This window comes from Homo sapiens, chromosome 8, assembly GCF_000001405.40.
Source record: "Homo sapiens chromosome 8, GRCh38.p14 Primary Assembly".
NCBI lineage: Eukaryota > Metazoa > Chordata > Mammalia > Primates > Hominidae > Homo > Homo sapiens.
The window spans coordinates 67,278,168-67,298,871 of NC_000008.11; the positions used below are offsets into that span (position 1 = coordinate 67,278,168).

At 35.5% G+C, this 20,704-nt stretch overlaps 1 protein-coding gene across 17 annotated transcripts in view; it reads right to left on the bottom strand.

Annotated features, from left to right (window-relative positions):
* Positions 1-20,704, bottom strand: part of ARFGEF1 (ARF guanine nucleotide exchange factor 1) — a 170,271-nt gene that overhangs the window by 104,657 nt on the left and 44,910 nt on the right. For all 17 annotated transcript variants that reach the window (NR_182117.1, NM_001413186.1, NM_001413187.1 and 14 more), the window contains 3 exons: positions 18,264-18,443; positions 13,680-13,956; positions 9,788-9,898 (listed from right to left, as the gene is read on the bottom strand). Coding sequence is in view for 15 of the 17 variants with exons in the window: in NM_001413186.1 (NP_001400115.1) it covers positions 9,788-9,898; positions 13,680-13,956; positions 18,264-18,443 (568 nt within the window). In the remaining 2 variants the exon portion in view is untranslated. The remainder of the gene's footprint in view (positions 1-9,787; positions 9,899-13,679; positions 13,957-18,263; positions 18,444-20,704) is intronic.

The following is a 20,704-nucleotide window of genomic DNA, read 5'->3' on the forward strand; positions in this document are numbered from 1 at the left end:
CATGCTACCAATTGAAAGAAAACTATAAGATAGTACGAGAGACACATGCTGTACTATAAGGAACATAGATTCTGAAATATTAAAGACCTGTGTTTCAATCATGTCTTCACCAGTTAATGGGGTAAATTATTTCATATTTCTTTGCCTGGGTTTCTTCATGAGTAACAGAAATAATGAGGTCTATGAGGAACCACCAAAACACACATACAAGACATAAAGAATAAAACTGGTACTCAATAAGTGGTAGTTATTACTAATTTTGTTACTAATTGATAACATGTCTCCAACTTTTGAGTGACTTGAGTAATATGAAAGGAGTAGCAGCTTCTGGTTCCCCTACCCAGAAGTTGCTTTCTCCTCTCCAAATTAGAACACCCTGGAATAGATTAAACTGGATAGGCTGGGTGCAGTGGCTCACACCTGTAATCCCAGCACTTTGGGAGGCCGAGGCGGGTGGATCACGAGGTCAGGAGTTCGAGACTAGCCTGGCCAACATGGTGAAACCTCGTCTCTACTAAAAATACAAAAATAAGCTGGGCACGGTGGCGGGTGCCTATAATCCCAGCTACTCGGGAGGCTGAGGCAGGAGAATCACTTGAACCTGAGAGGTCAAAAAAACTGGATAATTCCGAAGCAAGTTTTGCATTAATAAGTATAACATGAAAAATATATTCAGTAATAAAATACATTATGAAAACTGTTACACTGAAAACAGACGCTTTCTTAAGAGGACTTTTGGAGCTTCAATATGCTAATGTTTGATGTGCTAAATACCACTATAGCTTTTATATATTACATATGTAGAAAATGCATAGGCCAGGCACGGTGGCTCATGCCTATAATTCCAGCACTCTGGCAGGCCAAGGTGGGAGGATCACTTGAGGTCAGGAGCTCAAGACCAGCCTGGGCAACATAGTGAGACACCATTGCTACAAAAAATTTTTTTTAAAAAAAGAATTTACATATGTAAAGATTGTGGAAAGACTCAGAAAAAAACTAACAATGATTATTAGAAACTGAGTTCCTATCTCATTCCCCAGAGTACTTATTCCAAAACGTTTTCTCTCTGCACCCAATTACATCTCTTCCTATGATTCTCTCCCCACCTCCCCTTAACAAATGACTTCCACCTACTACTTAGCTAAAAATCAGGTAATTTAACACAGGCTCCCTGTCTCTTGCAGCACCACAAAAATACATCTCTTCCTGCCTTCAACAGTATCTTCCTCCACTAAGTATTTTAACATTCCTTTTTCAATTTTGTGCACACAACTGGATCTTCCCCATTATCCAATAAACATTCAAATATTTTCACACACACACACAAAATCTTCCTTCACCTCTTGCTACACCTCAGCTCGTGTTCATTTTCTTCCCTCTTTTTATTAAATCTCTCAAATGAATACTCAATATTATTTGATATTACTTTCCTCCTTTCCATCTCAAGAAATTTCTCAAAGAAACTGAAAACATTTCCTGATTTTCTTTTTAGACTTTGAAGCCACACCCCCGTGGCTTGAAATCTTCACTTTATCACTTCTTCAAAAGGAATAATCACTCATTATTTCAATTTTCTCATTTGTAAAGAGGGGATAGTAATAGTACCTAAACATCCCAGTGTTTGAGGGAAGAGTAAATGAATAAATACAAGCACATAAAATCATTTGAGATATACAGGAAGCACTTAATACAGTTAGTATTATTAACTGTCTCATGTTTTCTCCTCTAATTATCCTTTAAACATAGATGCAAACTTCTACTTTCAAGGTGGTGAATTGAGCCTACCAATTTACTTTCTCCTTTGACAAATCCCACTGAAATTACAAAAAAAAAATAAACAAGAGATGTACTTTTAATGATGCTGATAAACTAAGGAGCATATCACTGGATCATAAACTTTGAGGAATCCTAGAAAGTAGGTTGAAATCAAAGGAAAACCTATTTAATTTATTGCCTATGACTGAACACATGCAAAGAATAGGCCAACCTGAGAGATATGATTGTTTTACCACTTGGGTTCTAAAAGACTTCAAAGCCTAGAATGGCAAGGTGCTATGAGGTAAGAGGGAAGATGCAAATCAAAGAGCTTGGGGAACCATGCCAATGTCTATCAATAGAGCTGACCACAGCCATGATCATCTAGACTGTATTTGATCACTGCCTGCTAATTAAAGTAGATTATTTGTTTAGTAGGTCTCCTAACATAACAAGTAGGCCAGGAAAGGAGAGAGCAGCATCTCAGCTAACTGGGAATGCTGCAATAAACACAGAAGGAAAACCAACTAAGGTTCTAGGCTCCTACTCTCTTTCTACTTAATTATTTCCAATTAAAGCCATTACTGAATGATGCCAGCTTAAGATTCCCTGGCAAGGGTTGGGAGAGTGAGAACAAATCAACAAGTGTGAAGATCTTCCTCAGTGTAGAATATATAAAAAGTGTACAGCATTCACCCCAAGCTTGACTTTGGTTTGTGTTGACAACATGGTGAATGATAAGGGGCTACACAGCCCAAGGGCCACTAGAGCCATACCCTGCTCAAGGGAGGTACCTGCTTCTTTGATCTCAGCTTAGAAATGAGGTCTGCCTTTGGACCACAGACACCTCATGAATTTTGGAAAGGAAGGCCTCACAAGAAATAGAAAAAACATATACAATTACTGAGAGTAGATTGATCAAATCTAGTCTCTGTTTCTACAAATAGGCAAAAACATAAAGTTTACAGCTCAAAAGTGAAGACAAAAGACAGCAATCTGAGCAAATGGGGAATTAGATTTCACAGCTGGGATAGTTCCAGTTAGTATAGTCAGTGATAAGCGAAGGAATGTTGCAATAATACACAAGAGCAAAGTGCTATAAAAAAAAAAAAGCTCAGAGAAAAATGGGGTTCTTGGGGACAAAAACATTACTGAAACAAAAACTACACTGGAAAAAGCAGTAGAATGGATATTACTAAAAAATATTTGCAAAATGGAAAAACCCTTGTAACATTCTCGTTGAATGTAAAACCCTAAGACAAAATGATGGAAATTAGAGAAGACTGCAATAGCAATCAAGGACATGATCTAGAATATTCAACATCTGTATAGTGTGAGATGTGGAAAAGAACAGAAAGGATGAAGAAGAATTAACAATAACAACAAAAAAACTTTCTAAAATGATGAAAAGTCATAAAAAAATCAACTGCTACTCCTGATTTAAAAAAACAAAAGTAAAATTCATACCCATGCACACACAGTCACGTATATACAAAAGATAAAAGCATCTTTTAATCAAACAAGAAAACTTACTTAATTTGATAAAGAGTATCCTCCAAAAACAAAAGCAATCATCAAATTTAATGGTGAAATATAGCAATAATGTTAAAAAAAAAAATGAATATCCTTGCCATCATTAACACTATTCAACATTTTCTGGAGCTTCTAGCCAATGTAATGTAACAAAAAGAAACAAACAAAAATAAGGTATAAATGCTGTAAAGGAAGAGACAAAGATAAAAATATCATTATTCACTTAGAAAAAATAGCCAAATGAAAAACTTTTAGAAATAATATGAGTTCAGAAGGTGACCAAATAGGAGATAAATATGGAAAAACAAGAATTTTTCTATATTCCAATTAAATTAGGGAATAGAGAAGAAAGGACTCAACCAAAATATTATCAAAACTAAACCAAAAATATAGAAATAATTTAACAAAAAATGTGCATGAGCCAAAGGAAGAAAACAATAAAACTTTCCTGAATGACGTAAAAGACTTGACTAAATGAACTTTTTATGTTTCTGGAGGAGAAGACTCGATACTGTTGCAAAGAAGATATTATCTTCCCAAGTTAATTTATAAGCACATTACAATTTCAATTACTAAGTAAGCTTTAATTTTTGAACTTAATAAAGTGGTTCTAAAGTTCACCTAACAACATACATTTAATAGATATTTTAAAAATTGATACTATAGAATACAAAAATTAAAAACTAAAAAAAATTGAAGAGGGAGGCCTTGCACTATGAAAATCAAAATGTACTATAAAGCCAAAATATTTTACATAATTCAACACTGGTTAGGAATAGACAAATAGCTCATTACAACTGTACAGAAAACTCAAAAAACAGAACCATTTAGGATAAAGTTTTCATTTCAAATTAATTGAGAAATGATTATTTCTATAGCTTATAATTAGCTATAGAATTTCACACCACACAGAAAAATAAATCTGAGATGAATTAAAGAGCTAAAGTCAAAAAATAAAAACAAAATATTAGAAAAAGGTATCTTAGTGTATTTTATAATCTTAGGGTGGTAAAATCCATTTTCAGCAAGACAAAAACAGAAACCACAAATAAAAAGATAATCTTAAAAATTTTTTTTGTGGTCAAGTATGTGCTCGGAAATAAAAATATAGGCCAGGCGCGGTGGCTCATGCCTGTAATCCCAGCACTTTGGGAGGCCAAGGCGGGTGGATCACAAAGTCAGTAGTTCAAGACCAGCCTGGCCAACATGGTAAAACCCCGTCTCTACCAAAAAAATACAAAAATTAGCCGGGCATGGTGGTGTGCACCTGTAATCCCAGCTCCTCAAGAGGCTGAAGAAGAAGAACTGCTTGAACCCGATAGGCAGAGTTTGCAGTGAGCCAAGATCTTGCCACTGCACTCCAGCCTCGATGATAGAGCAAGACTTCATCTCAAAAAAAAAAAAAGAAAGAAAGAAAAAGAAAATAATATAAGCAAAGGTTCAAACAAAACAAAGACTGAGTAGAAAAAATATTTACAATACACTGAACAAGGAATAATTTCTTAGTATGAAGAACTCCTGAAAATAAGAACAAAAGAAAGAAAAGGAAAAAATAGGCAAAAGACAAGAATAGTAATTCAAAAAAAGATAAGTAGTCCAATGATATTTAGTTGGAATATACAAAATGGCCAATGTTTGACCTATAAAAATAATTGCCTATATTTTGACCCTGGAAATAGCCAAATGCAAATTAAAACAATACAATAAATACCATCATTACAGTGACATTATAGCACTGTATACAAATTTTTTAATATTCATACACCTTGATCAAGCTATTCCTTCTTTATAATTTAGCCAAAAGATAAGTGCAAAAAGATGTCTATAGTAAGAATGTATATCACACCAATGTTTATAAAAAGCAAAAACCTGAAAATAATCTAAATGCTAGTATTAACAGGAGATTATTTAAATAAATTATGGCCCAGTGATATAATGAAATTCAAATGGATGTGAATGGATATAGTTTAATATGTGAAAAAGGCAGATTATCAAACTGTAAGTACAATATATTCCCATTTATCTTAAACATATGTAATATATATGCAGGCATGTGTGAAAAAAATTATTTAAAAAATTATGTACAGCAAAACACACCATAATAAGATCAAAAGACTTGGGCGAATGATAAACTGAGAGAAAGTATCTGTAAAATATATCACAGAATCCTAATACATAAAGGATTCTTAAGGGGAAAAGGATAAAAATCTGATGGAAAAATGAACAGAAGACATGAATAAATGACTCACTAAAAGATATACTAATGATCCTACAGATATGAAAAGATGTTTAATTTCACTCATAGAGAAATGCACATTAAAACCAAACTGAGATACATTTCTCACCTATCAGGTTGGTAAAAACTCAAAATCTTTTAGTACTACCAGCTGTGGAGAGAAAGGCACTCTCATACATTAATGGTAAGAGTGCAAAATGGCACAACACCTATAAAGAGGAATTTAGCAATAGCTAACAGATATTCATATTCATTTACCACTTGACCCAATAATCTCATTTCTAGGAATTTGCCCTCAAAATAAACTTCCATAAATATGAAACAATACAGATGTACAAAGTTATTCACTGCAGCATTATTTGTAACAGCAAAACACTGGAAACAACGTAAGTACAACAGGGGGCTGGCTGAATAAACTATGATATATCTGCATAAGGTAGTATTATGCAGAAAACCATGAGAGAAAAGAAGAAAATCTCTATCAACTGAAATAGAATAATTTCTAATATGTTAGGTGAAAAAATGCAACACACACATACATGCAGTACTCTAACAAAAAATGAGAGAAAGGGAAATAAAAAACGCCTTTGCTTACATCTCTTATGTACAAGCAGACATGTACGCACAACCCCCTAACCCCCAGAGATAAACTAAAAGCTAGTGAAACTGATTACCTATAGAAGGAGGATCAGAGAAGGAAGGAGCTGATGGAGTTCTCCAAGTAAGCCTTTTATGTAATTTTGACTTTGAATCATGTAAATATTCTTCATATTTAAAAAAACGAACCAATAAAATAATACAAGTAACTTTTTCAAAACAGTACTCTCACTCATCTTTAGTAGGATATATTTAAGGATACATATAATTACAGAAAAATCTTGAACTTTATAAGTTTGCTGTTAGTAATGGCATCTTGTTGGGGATCTGGGTTTTCAATGTAGGAAACGGAAGATACAAATAGAAAGTACAGAAAGATGAGGAGCAACCTTGTGGTATTGGACGTGAAGTAGAACTACAAATAGGAACTTAAGACTAATTGTATGTTTCCCTCTCTATCCACTGGAAGGGCCTGCAAGTAAGGACATCTCAGCAGCTAGCAACAAGAGCATCTTGTAACCAATTCTTGGTTTCTAAGAACAACTGCCCACTAAAAAGGACAAAGACTCTTCGGAGAACTAGCTGATTCCAGGGCTGAGGAAAAGGGAAGTTGAAGGTGAACCTGGAACATCTTTCTGTTCCAAACATAAAGGAAAAGCTCAAAGACTAACAGAATCACATCAAAAGAACGTGGGTGTTAGCTTGAACGGATTCCTACTGGCAGACAAAAAAATAAAAATAATGATGATACAGGATTATAACACATCAAATAATAAAAGAATTCATTAAGCCCATGGTATTATTTTTAAAGGGGGGGGTGGGGCAGGGTGGGAGAGCTCTTCTCTATAGAAAAATGTCAATGAATGTTAAGAATTAGAAAATTGCTATATTGCAACCCAATATCTGAGTAAGGCAAGGATCATCAATGGGTGCTAAAACCATTGAGTGGGCCAGGTGTGTGGTTCACATCTGTAATCCCAGCAATTAGGGAGGCTGAGGTGGGAGGATCACTTGAGGCCAGTTCAAGCCCAGCCTGGACAACACAAGCAAGACCCCATCTCTACAAAAAAATACAAAAACTAGCCGGGCGTGGTGGTGTGTAACTGTAGACTCAGATACTCAGGAGACTAAGGCAGGAGGACTGCGTGAGCCCAAGAGACCGAGGGTGCAGTAAGCCAAGACTGTACCACTATACCCCAGCCTGGGTGACAGAGCAAGACCTTATCTTGGGGGGAAAACAAAAAAAAACACTGGGTGAATAAATTTTCATATCATCTCCAAGTATCAAAGTATCACCTCAGATTGGCTATTAATCACAAAGTGAAAAATGTTCCTTTACAGAGAGCTGATAATCACCATCTTAACCAAATGATCCAACCCTACCACCAACGGGGGTAACCTGTCATTATGTACCAATTTATATGATGTGGTATTAAGTACTAATATCACCATGCAGTATTTTTGCCAAATATATTTAATCTAAACTAATCATGTAGATGACAATCTCAATCTACTCATATAGGATGGTAAAGAAACCATCCAATAAATCCAAAATTTGAAATATTCTACAAGGCAAAAGATTCTTCAAAAAAGCAAATGTCATGAAAGTTGGGGGGAAAAATCAAGAGGACTTGTTCTAAACCAAAGAGACAGATAAGCAAATACGAGTGTACCCAGGTTGAGTTCTGGATTTAGAAAAGAAAAAAAAGGATATAAGACACATTTTGGGAAAACTGGGAACACTGAAAAATATATGTATATTAGATATTCTTGAAATCGTGTTAATTTCCCTAGGTATGAAAATGGAATTGTGCTTATTGTATGAGAATGCTCTTATTGGAGAAGATATATGCTGTGAGGTATTTACGGGAGAAATGTCATGATGTATACAACCGATTTTCAAATGGTTCAGCAAAGACACATACATTATGTGCATGGTATTTAAAGATACATAAAGTAAACATAGCAAAATCGTTAACCACTAGTGAATCCAGATAAAGGACACACAGGTGTTCACTGTTCCTTTTTTCGAACTTTTCTCTAGGTTTGATGTTTTTCCTAAGTAAAAAGTTGCAGAAAAACGAAAACTTTCACTTCAGACTCTGTATTGTTAGATGCTGGTGAATTTTTTTTATAAAGGGTCAGATGATAAACATTTTAGGCTTTAGAGGTCGTACAATCTCTACTGGAACTATTCAACTTTACCTATGAAGTACAACAGGAGACCTCTGTAGGCAGTATAAAAACAAATAAGCATGGCTGTGTCACAGTATTATTTTACATACAAAAATAGGTAGCGGGTTGAATCTGGCCCACAGGCCGTAATGTGCCAACTCCTTAACTATACTATTATATGTTTAAAGAATGCACGGGCATGTACTGCTATTTTTTCTTCTCTATTTTTTATTTTTTTAATATATATTTTAAATTCATACTCTTCAAATCATGGTCGGTTCTTCACTCTCTACCATTTCCCACTTGGTAATCTCATGGCTTCACTATTAATTTTAACAGAATGACTCCCATCTATAGCACCTGCCTTGGCAACTCTTGAGCCAGAGTTTTATTTTCCATTACGTATTTCATAATCATTTCCACACAGATGGCCAACTTGAAGGTCAAATTCAGTATACCAAAAGTAAATAAGTGCCTTTTTTCCCAAGTGACTTATCTTCCAAGATGATTCAACTCTACCAATAGCACCACCATCCACCTATCCATTTAGGCTCAAAAACTGAAACACTACCTGTGCAGGAAAGAGGTAACATAGCAGGCCAGAGACTGCCTATCCTTAGAAAGGCCTACTTGCAAGACTGGCCTTTGGCTGGCACCTGGGAACTTATATTTTGGGAGGGATCCCACTATTCCCAGAACTGATAAAAGTGACTCACTGTGTCTAAACTGTACAAAGAGTGTAATTTATGCTGAACACCAACCTTCCTTCTGGTATCCTGGAATTTTCGTACATGGTAGGTGCCTACATAACAGCCCCCAGTAAAAACCTTGGGACCTGAGTCTCTAATGAGCTTCCCTGGTAAACACTTCACAAGTTGAATTAAGAGAATCTGTATGACTTCACTGAGAGAAGACATTTGGAGCATGTACCTGATTTTCTCCAGGCTTCACCCCATATACCTCTTCCTACTGATGATTCTGCTTTGTACTTTTTCACTAATAAATCATGCAGTGAGTACAACTATATGCTGGGTCCTGTGACGGCTTCCAGTGAAATCACCAAACCTTGGGGTAATCTTGAAGGCCTCCGACACACTTTATTCTCTTTTCCTTACCTACTTAATCAGTTACAAAGTCTTCTTGATTCAATATACATTATATCACTTATCCATATTTTTGTCTCCATTTAGACGGTTTCTGTCCTATCCAGGCTTTGAATACTGTGCTGGTATCCTACTGGGAATTCTTATTTCCAGACTTAGCTTCTTAAAGCATAGTTCTGGTCATTTCATTTCTCAGTGCTAAAATCTTCCATATTAACCCATTTGTTCTAGAATCAAGGCCAAAATCCTAAATGTGGAATTTGTAACTTTCCATTGGTTGGCTCCAAACGTTTTAATTTTGCCCTTTCTATTCCAGACATTACAAAGTCTCCACAGTCAGATGAAATCCCATAGACAGAGTAAAATAATTTTGAATGAAGTATACTACCTCCAACAACAATGTTCACCATTTCTTCTACAATGTTCTGTACAATGTCTTGTGGCTTTTCCTCACAATCATGGTTTTCTCCGTCATATAACACTTCATTTTTAGATAATGCTTTAAAAGAAGAAAAATTCAACAGAACATTATTTTAACTTTTTGGAAGCTTTTTACTAAACATTTATGATGAAAAAACTCCTAAATCATGAGGAATAAAAGAAAAAAAATCAAATAGATAACATGAAATTAGAAGCAATTATATGCTAAACCTTCAAAATGTATACCAAAACTTAAATATTTTCCAAATTCAAGTCAATTTCAATGATTCCTTTGACAAGCTATTACATTATTACACTTAACTGAATTTTCTAGATTAGTCCTTTAAGTACCAAAACTTCAAAAACTATTTTAAATGAAACATTTCTAACATGTCCTACAGATGCTTACTTATACTTAGTACACACATTACACTATCCCTTATCAAATATACTGAATGTAAGTAGGCTGGGTGCAGTGGCTCATGCCTGTAATTTCAGCAACTTGGGAGGCCAAGGTGGGTGGATCACCTGAGGTGGGGAGTTGGAGACCAGCCTGGCCAACATGGTGAAACCCCATCTCTACTAAAAATACAAAAATTAGCCAGGCGCGGTGGCACACGCCTGTAATCCCAGCTACTCGGGAGGCTGAGGCAGGAGAACTGCTTGAACTCGGGAGGTAGAGGTTGCAATGAGCTGAGACTGCACCACCGCACTCCACCCTGGGTGACAGAGCAAGACGACGTCTCAAAAAAAAAAAGTAATTAAAGCTTGTTTCGATTACTTAGGCTCATCAATAGTAAGATCAACATGGTACTCTATGGTGAGGTCCCTGAAGAAGCATCTGGGCCTTCCCCAGTACTTTCTGGCCCTTCCTATTTTTTCACCAACATAATCTACATATCTAATGTAAAACTAAATTTAAGAAGCTAAAAAAGAATTCATTGTCCAATTTAATGTAAAAAACAAAAAAAACAAAAAAAAAACAAAATCACCAACAACAGATAACTGCCAATCGAACTTCTGAATAGCCTAAGAGAAACTGATGAAATCTGATGTTCTGGATAGCTTGCACAGTCTATTGCAGAGAAAAATAGGAATTCCACTGGGCTTTTTAAAATGTTGAAAATATGTCAAAGCAGCTCAACTATCACTTTAGAATGCCCTGGGATTCAAAATGCTGTCTTGAGCTACCGTTCTACACCAAAGGGCATCAGACAGCATATTAGCTGATGGTGCTGCAGTTTCAACTCCTTGAACCTTCCCACTACTATAAAGGACCACTACAGCTGAGCACAGGGGGGGTCACACCTGTAATCCCAGCACTTTGGGAAGCTGGGTGGGAGGATCACTTGAGCCCAGGAGTTCAAGACCAGCCTGGGCAACACAGTGAGACCCAGTTGCTACAAAAAATTTAAATATTAGCTGGGTATGGTGACACCTGCCTATAGTCTTAGTTACTTGGGAGGCTAAGATGGAAGGATCGCTTGCGCCTGGGAGGCAGGCAATGACCCATGATTGTGTAATTGCACTCTAGTCAGGGTGACAGAGCAAGACTCTGTATCCAAAAAAAAAAAAAAAAAAAAAAAAAAAGGAAAAAAGGACAAAAAAAGGACCACTACTTATAATAGTGGCTTCTAGGTGCCTGTCCTCCCTATAATTTCACTTTTACTAATTTACTGTCTGTAGTATCCCAAAAATACTGAATGCCACAAGAGAAAACCAGATAAATATGCATGTAAATGAGCAACCTTATTTTATAAAATATCCAAATAAAAATAGCATTTAGAGTCTTCTGTGAATAAAAACATAAATGTCTTGAAAGATAATTTTTCTGCCATTCTTAAGTGTTTTATTTCCATGCTCTAGTTGGCTAAAATTACCTCAAGTCTGAAAACTAGAGTTTCAAAGTAACTTAATATACATAACCACTATCTAAAAGTGTACGAAATGACTAGTGAAGGGTCAATTTTCACATAAGTATCTGAAAGAAACAGAACAGAATAACAATGACTAATATTTATTACATGTAGGAAATGCTTAGAGAAGTTAACTATTATGTCCAAAGTCACGCAGCTGGTAAGTGACAGAGGTGTGCTCCAAAAATGCACTCTGAACCAATGGCTGTCAAACAGAATTTTCATTTATATCAGCTATTGGGAGAAAAACATCTTTAGAGCCAAAATAATCATCACAATCCCACAGGAAACTATGTCTTTCTAACTCTATATTCTACAAGGCTTCTACAGCGGTACCTCACACACGGCAGATGCTTCCATTCCTTGGGTCTTAGTCCATGTTGTTTCCTTGGTTGGAAAATTTCCTACCCCTAAGGTACCTCACACACAGCAGATGCTCCCATTTCTTGGGTCTTAGTCCATGTTGTTTCCTTGATTGGAAATTTCCTACCCCTATCTATCAAGATTCAACTAAAATATCACCACTTTCTCTACAAAGAAATTTCCTAACTCTTCTCAGCAGAATTACTTTGTGCATGGCATTTTTAGGACACCTATCACATATTATACCTTATTTATGCTCACTTGACTTCCAAGTATGCTAAGATCACACTAAAAGCAGTGGCTGTATCTCCATCATCTTTTTAACCTCAAGTCCTAGCATGGTGCCTAAGACACAGTATGCTCAATGAAGGTTTGCTAAATGCATAGATATATAAACAAAAAAATAAATAAAGTCCCAGCTTTATTAGAGATTAGCCCTTTGAATCTGCCCATTATAAGCTCACAGTGAAAGTGGGGGAAATTTTGGCAAGGGCAGGCTAGACAAATGTAAATCATTTAAGTGGTATGGATTCACTATTAGCTTCAGTACTATGAATGCTTAGCTTATCGAAGTCATCCTTTTTAAAACAAATAGTAAAGTACTGTTTTTAAAAGCATGCCTCTCAGAAAGCTGGGGGGAAAATGTAAAAAGGCACGTATTCATGCCACTACTAAGTTTTGGAAAAGGCATGGTTTTAAAAAAAAAAAATCAAGAGCTGAAAACATATTACAGAAATCCTTCCTCAAAGTGAAGTAAAAACACAGACTTCAGATGAACTGTAACTGACTCCTAACATGCTAGTTCTAGACAACCACACTGGAGAGGCAACAGAATTCTCATCATTTAAAAATGACATCAAGCTAAGGAAGGGCAAAGGGAGAACACCACCAACTCCCTGGTAGTTTCACAGAACAGCTAAAGCTGAAAATAACATTTAGGAAAAAAATAACTTCATGGGATTATTTTTACAGAGAAACAAATTTGTAAAATAAATATAATTTTTATAATCTTATAAGCGTTTTCTTATAATATACACTTAAAAAATCAGAGAACATCTCAATTTTAGTGATTACTATGCATCATGATTTTAAAAAATGAAAATTTCTATCAGTTGGTTACTCAAAAACTTTGTTTTTATATTTAATTTCAGTACTTTTTTTTTTTTACCATAATCATATTTTTAAAACTGGTAATGATTTTTTAAAATTTTCAGTCATATTCCAGAAAACCTTACTAGGTCACTTGTTTGCTATGAAACCAATCTTAAGAAAACTGAAATTCCTATATAACATTTAACGGACATTTATGACCCTCTTTAGAAATATATCTGCGCTCCAAAGGAAATCTATAAATCATACTGCTCATGAGATGCTAATAAATGCAAAGTATCATTCATAGATATCTTGTAGGTTAGAGTCAAATTAATTTTACCACCTACAATGAGGAAAGTCCACAATTACCACAATGTGTCTGACACACTTATTAAATCATATTATCCTTTCAACATTTCTTCATCAAAACTCTCATTCCTACACATTTCCCTTAACACACACCCCAAACCCCCTTTTCAAGAAGATTACTTTCAGCTGCAGTTGCCTGATCAGCTTCAGTCTGTTCATTTTCTGCACTGGAAATATCAGATCCATTTTCAGGCTCTGTGTCATCCTGAAGACTTTTATCTACATCATTTGTATGGAGGTCAAGGTCCCCTTCGTGTTCTTGGGATATATGATCAACAGTCTGAGGTGGCAAATATCTAAGTTGAGGTGATTCAGGCTCGTGATGGCTTACTGGAGACTGTAACAGATGATGATGCTGCCGATGCCTTTCTTTTTCCATTTGTTTTGCTTCCTGTAACTGGAAATAAATAAAATTTCCAATATTAGTAAAATAAGTTGTTTAAAATTTGGAAGGATAATGTTACCTCCAACAATCCTTTCTATAAGGTGCCATTCTCTCTACGCTTGGAAATTAAAGTTTATCAGAAATGGAGAACATAAACTATACTAAAAACAATGAACAATGTTTACTTCTTAGGTGGCTGGAAATTGGCACATAAGAACAGAGATGAAAGACTTTCACTATATAGCATTTTCACTGTATTTGGTGTTTGTGTGGATGAAACACACGCACACACATTCACTTTTGCTTATACATACAGAAAGTCTATAAAAATACATAAGAAGCTAGTACTAACAATTACCTATAGAGGGTAGAGATTAGGAAATAAAATGGAAAACAAGAGTGGGAGGCAACTTTTCAGTGTTTATCCTTCTGGAGCATGTTCTTATGTCACCTTGTCAAATATCTTTTAATAAAAAAATTAAAATTACATTTAATAGAATTACAATGAAGGCTTAAATCACTCTGCCTAGCCATCTAATAATTATGAAAAAAACTATATCTACAAATGTCTGAATTTTATTTTAGAAAAACTGTCATTATTATGTATATAATACTATCTGTAAAACTGGCTCACAAAATGTTAGAAACATTAACTGGGATCACAAGATTTCATTTTTTAGCACTTTATTGCTTTCACACATCTCTTTTGGTCCTCAAGACCTGATAAGAATGAGTCTCACAGAATTAATTTCCACCAAGATAAATCTTATACAGTAGTAAATATGAACATTTCATATTCTCCAGTAATATTCCAGGTTAGGTGGAAATGCCAGAATTACACGAATTTATAAAATAAGCTTGAATTAAAGGATTTTAATAATAAAGTCTGACAAGATTTGCTTTGTAAGGAGTTTTATTTTGTGGGGGAAGGGGAAAATTAAGGTTACCAGTAGCTAATATCAAAGAATTCAACATCTGGCTTAGAAGATTTTAGCAAATGTGGAAGTTAAGTCGTCTGTATCCCATTTCCCCTTATTTTCTCTCCCTCTTTTCCACCTTTTCTATAATTATCCATAGCACAGAACTAAATATCCTTTGTAACACAATACATGTTCATAGCCTTTATCATAATTCAGTTCTGCAGTTGTTTAAGGGAAACTCTTTGCCTCAAATGTTCCTAAGATCTTCAAAGGTAATAGTCAAGTCGGTTTTGCTCGTCACTGTATAAGTGAGGCCTAGCACAGTGCCAGGAACATATAAGGAACTTAATAAAAAGTCTGTTAATCAAATCAAACCAATAAAACTTTGTTATTAAAAAGTGACAAAAATATTTTATGTCCTCAAAAAAAAGCAGCAAAACCACTGTTTGTGGCTGCAAAATATTAGAAATAAATTAATGCCACTACAGAGGAGAGTGACTTAATAGATAATAGGCTATATCCTAAAGTACTATCATCTATAAAAAAGAATGAGGAAGGTCTTTAAGGACTGATATGAAATGCTTTCTAGGACATACTGCTCAATGATAAGAGCAAAATACAAAAGAGAATGTATAGCATATGTGGTAGCTAGTCTTCAAGATGGTCACCAATGATGTCCACCTCTCAATTTTCACTCCCTTGTGTAGTCCCTTTCCACAATGTACCGGTGTGACCGCTTCTGATTATAAGGTAGACATGTGGCTTCCGTCTTACATTCAAGGGGTGGAAAGAAGGGAAGAAGAGGAATGCAGTGGTAGGAATTAGTAGGAATTGGTACTTTTCTGAGTAGACCTTTTGTACAGCTCTGACTCTTAAATCGCAGTAATGTTTTACATACCTAAAAAATAAATAAGTACAGTTCGCCCTCTGTGTATCCATGGGTTCTACATCAGTGGATTCAACCAAACAGGGATTGAAAATACTGATGGCGGGGGGAAAGAATAGCTGTGTCTGTACTGAACAAACATGTACAGACAACTTTTTTTTTTGGTCGTTATTCCCTAAACAATACAGTATAACAACTATTTACAAAGTATTAGGTATTATAAGTAATGTAGAGATGATTTAAAGTATACAGAGGATGTGTGTAGCTTATATGCAAATATTACACCATTTTATAAAACAGACTTGAGTATCCACAGATTTTGGTATCCATGGGAGGGCCCTGGAACCAATCCCCCATGAATACTGAGGGATGACTGTAATTAAAACTAACCAGGATGTGACGAATACCAAAAATGAAAAGCAGAGAGTAACAAATGAGTCTAACTATTATCACAAAGGAATAGCATTACCCTATTGCAGAGTGTGGGGAAGAAAGGAACTAATCTAAGTAACTAGAAAATAATATTTTGAATGGATAAGGCTAAAGACAAAAAAACCTGAATATAAATGCTATAATCTACTTAGTAAATTTGTTTCTCACACTGGTAATGATTAGCAATTCTAAAACTAATGGGTATAATAGGATTGAACAATCAATGTATTTAGAATACAAAAGCCATATTTCTCATTGTTTAGAGAAAGAAGTTTACATATAAAGGGAGAAGACTGAAATGAACCCTGTATTGTTGCACTGGAATCAGAAATATCAGTATGAACACATGGTTTTATTACCTACATATGGAAAGTCACATACAGGTGTAGGAATTGAGTGGGACGGAAGGGATAGTATATAAACATATATTTCCTAACTCTATCTGCTGAGAGGCCTAGAAGCAATAACACAGAGTGACAATGAATACAACTAGCACTCAGATTTTGGTTTCTAAATACCATTCTCCAATCAAAAGAGCTACAGCTCCTTATTGAAGTGGTTGATTCCAAGGCTGAAGCTGGGAAAATTCAAAATGAGCCTGGAAAATCTTGAGAATCCAGAAAGCATGGAAGTACTCAAAAAAGGATGGGAGCTGGTCACAAGGACACAGGGCCAAAAGTGTAATAATTTGGGCAACAAAATAAGTAACTGTAGCACACATTACAACCATAAAATAAAATAAATATCTGTGATTACAGATTGATATAAATAAATAAATTAAGGGAGGAGAAATTCAATTAATAAATACAGAAGAGAGAAACAGGAAAATCATTAGGGAAACGCCACAATAATTAACTGTTGCCAACAAGATCCACTGACAGATATTAAAACTGAGCAAGTGAGGGGAGGATCTGAAGAGAAACAGTATTTGCACTGTCTTAAAATATCTCCCCAAAGATATTTATTAATTGCAAAAGAAAAACTACTAACTTCATAGTGGAGGAACCTGACAGATAACTACCTTAACCAAGTGATCAAGGTTAACATCACCAACATTAAGGTATATCAACATCATGAAGTCCTGACAAAATGCACTGAAAAGGACACAACATTGTCTCAGAGATATTCTGGCAAAAAATGCACAACCTCATTCTAATCACGAGAAAACATCACAAAAAGTAAACTGAGGAAAATTCAACAAAATAAATTATTAGTATCCTTTTAAAAATAGCAAGATCATGAAAAAGATAAGGAAAAGTTGAGGAACTGTCACAGACTGGAGAAGACTAAGACATAAGAACTAAATGCATACTGAACACAATGTGGGATCCTGGGTCAAATCTTAAAACATTAGTGGGAAAATTGGTGAAATTCAAGCAGGGTCTGTGGTTTAGTTAACAGTATTGTACCAGTGTTAATTCTGCTTTTGATAATTGTACTATGTAGGTATGTAAGTTAACTGCATTAAGGGAACCAGGGTGAAGGGTAAAAGGGATTGCTCTGAAAAATTTTTGCAACTTTTCTCTACGTTTAAAAAGAGTTCAAAATAAGAAGCTTGATGTTGATTTTTAATAGTGAAGACTTATGCATTTAAAAACAATTCTCTAGTTGCTGATCTCTTAACAATCAACCTGAAGCAGTTCAAAGTATAAGGAATATCATGCCCCTTTATCATACAGGGGAAAAAACGTATTTCATCAATATGGAAATATACTTTTTTAAGGCTTAATGAATAATTTTATTTCAGATTAGATTAAGTATTTTATAGCTACATTACACTCTACTAAGTTTGAATGCAATAAAAGTATTAATTCATAAGTACTTCCACAAGGAAGATGGCAATCAGCATATTTCACATACTATTTGTGAACAACTAAAAATACTTTGTCCAAAGTTAAGTCGGTAAACCTTAAAACAAAACAAAATAAAACACAATCCCACAAATCTCCAGTAAGTGGAAATGTAAATAAAAGACATTCTTTTCTACAGGTACAAAGATTTCACTCTAATTACTGTAAACTCCTTTCTATGTTTAATGCCTGTTGTGTTCTATACAACCTCTCTCTTCTTAAAATACTTACTGCTTGGTTTTCCATGCGTGCAAAGATAACATTTAGCATCTGAGTGAGAGTAGCTTTGGCTGTTGTCTGATTGATGAGATTTTTGCTTGCTAAGTAGATATTGTAACATGTTCTCACAGCTTGCAGTACAGTCCCTTCATGAATTTCTATGTGTTGTGATGTTACTGCAGTAAGTAAAGCCTTTAAGAAAAAAAAAGGAAAAAGTTAAAGAGATTTTCTTTTTCTTTTTTTTTTTGGAGACAGTCTTTCTCGCTCTGTCACCCAGGCTGGAGTGCAGTAGTGTGATCATAGTTCACTGCAGCCTTGAACTCCTGGACTTAAGTGATCCTCTCGCAGCAGCCTCCTGAGTAGCTGGGACTACAGGTGAGCACCACCACACCCGGCTAATTTTGTTTTATTTTTCTGTAGAGATGCAGTCTCTCTTTGTTGCCCAGACTGGTCTCACTCCTGGCTTCATGCAAGCCTCCCACCTCAGCCTCCCAAAGTGCGGGGGTTACAGGCATGAGCCACCACACCCAGCCTTAAAGTGATTTTCTGCATCTAGAGTTTCAGCACAAAAATTAAGCATTTTCATATTACAATTAAAACTTTCAGAAACAATTACCACTTGCGGGTAGTATACACAGAATTTCTACTGGCCTTGAATATATCATCAACTGTTAAAATATTTGATGTTTTCCTCACTGCGGCAGTAATTTCCACATAATCTGAAAACCATTTAACTGATTTGTTTCAACCAAGGTTTCATTTTAATGAAAATACTATTTAACTTACTAAAATGCACAGCATGAAAGCTGTTACAGCAGAGCACAGATACGTCACATGAGATATCTGTTGAACTAGACCATCAACTTGGGAAGATACACACTGTGTCTTATTTGCCTCTAAATTTTTCTGAGATCTTTTTTTAACACACTGAACTCAATAGCTGTGCTGTTGTTGTTATTGTTGAAGAGGTTTATAAATGTTTTAGAATAAAGCATTTAAAATAATCCCAAAGTAGCTGGGCGTAAGTGCCATATACCTGTGGCCCCAGCTACTTGGAAGGCTGAGGTGGGAGGATCATTTGAGTCAGGGAGGTCAAGACTCCAGTGAGCTGTGATCATGCCACAGCACTTAGCCTGGGCAACAGAGTGAGACTGTCCCAAATTAAAAAACAAATTCCTAAGGCAAATATTTCAATAAAATGAACAAATTTAACCTATGTGAATTTTCACATATTGGGTTACTTCCAATTTCTCAAGAGCAAAGACTCTTATCTTTTGTCTTCTTTATGTTGTACAATGCTATGCAGGGTCAGCATTAATGGGCATTATCTTAAACCATAAATGACATGAAACTATACATGATAGGTCAAAATGATCAACCCGTTTTTTTTTTTTTTCTTTTTTGAGACAGGATCTCACTCTGTTGCCAAGCCTGAAGTGCAGTGCAGTGAACATGGCTCACTGCAGCCTCAATTCCTGGGCTCAAGTAATCCTCCCACCTCAGCCTCCTGAGTAGCTGGGACCACAGGCACACATCACCACATCTGGCTAATTTTTAAATTATTTTTTGTAGAGACAGGGTCTTGCTGTGTTGCCCAGGCTGGTCTCGAACTTCTGGGATCAAGCAACCTTCTTGCCTTGGCCTCCCAAAGTGCTGGGATTACAGGCATGAGCTACCATGCCCAGTATTTTTTTTTTTTTAGAATAAAGATATTGTATGGCTTCTGAAGTAAACACAACTATAAAACTGAAAGGCTCCAAAAGGGTTGTATTCACACATGAAAGAACACTTCATATATACACGTAAAAACAATTTCAAAAGTACTGTACTATATATAGCACATGAAAATTTTACTGCTATAAAAATATACCACCACTACCATTAGCAATAACATTAAGAACTCAGTATCTGTAACAGAATGAAAACATTACTAATTTTTCTCCAAAGGAATTCAATCAAACAAGTACGTTACAGCACAAACTCAGAACAGGGTTTTGCTGAGCAAGTTCTATAGATGGATGGGTGCAACGATATCAGGAGAATTGGCGGATAAGTAGTGTCCACCTGGTAATTTGTGAGTTGAGAGGACAAGCTATGAAAGGTCCAACAGTACAGAAGAAACTAGAGGGGTCACAGCTTTAAGAACTACCCTAAAGTTTGATGGATGCAATATATATATACATATGAAAAACATGCCAGAAACAGAAAAACTTTGGAAGACTCTAGGGACTAAGTCTAAACTGAGACCTTCAAAAGAAGAGATATGAGAACATACTTTTCCTCTAACAAACTCTTGGCATACAACATTAAAATCCCCTAATATGGAGTCTAGAAAGCATCCAAATGACCTCTTCGTTTTTTTCTTGAGACTGAGTTTCACTCTGTCACCCAGGCTGGAGCACAGTGGCATGGTCTTGGCTCACTGCAACCTCCGCCTCCCAGGTTCAAGTGAT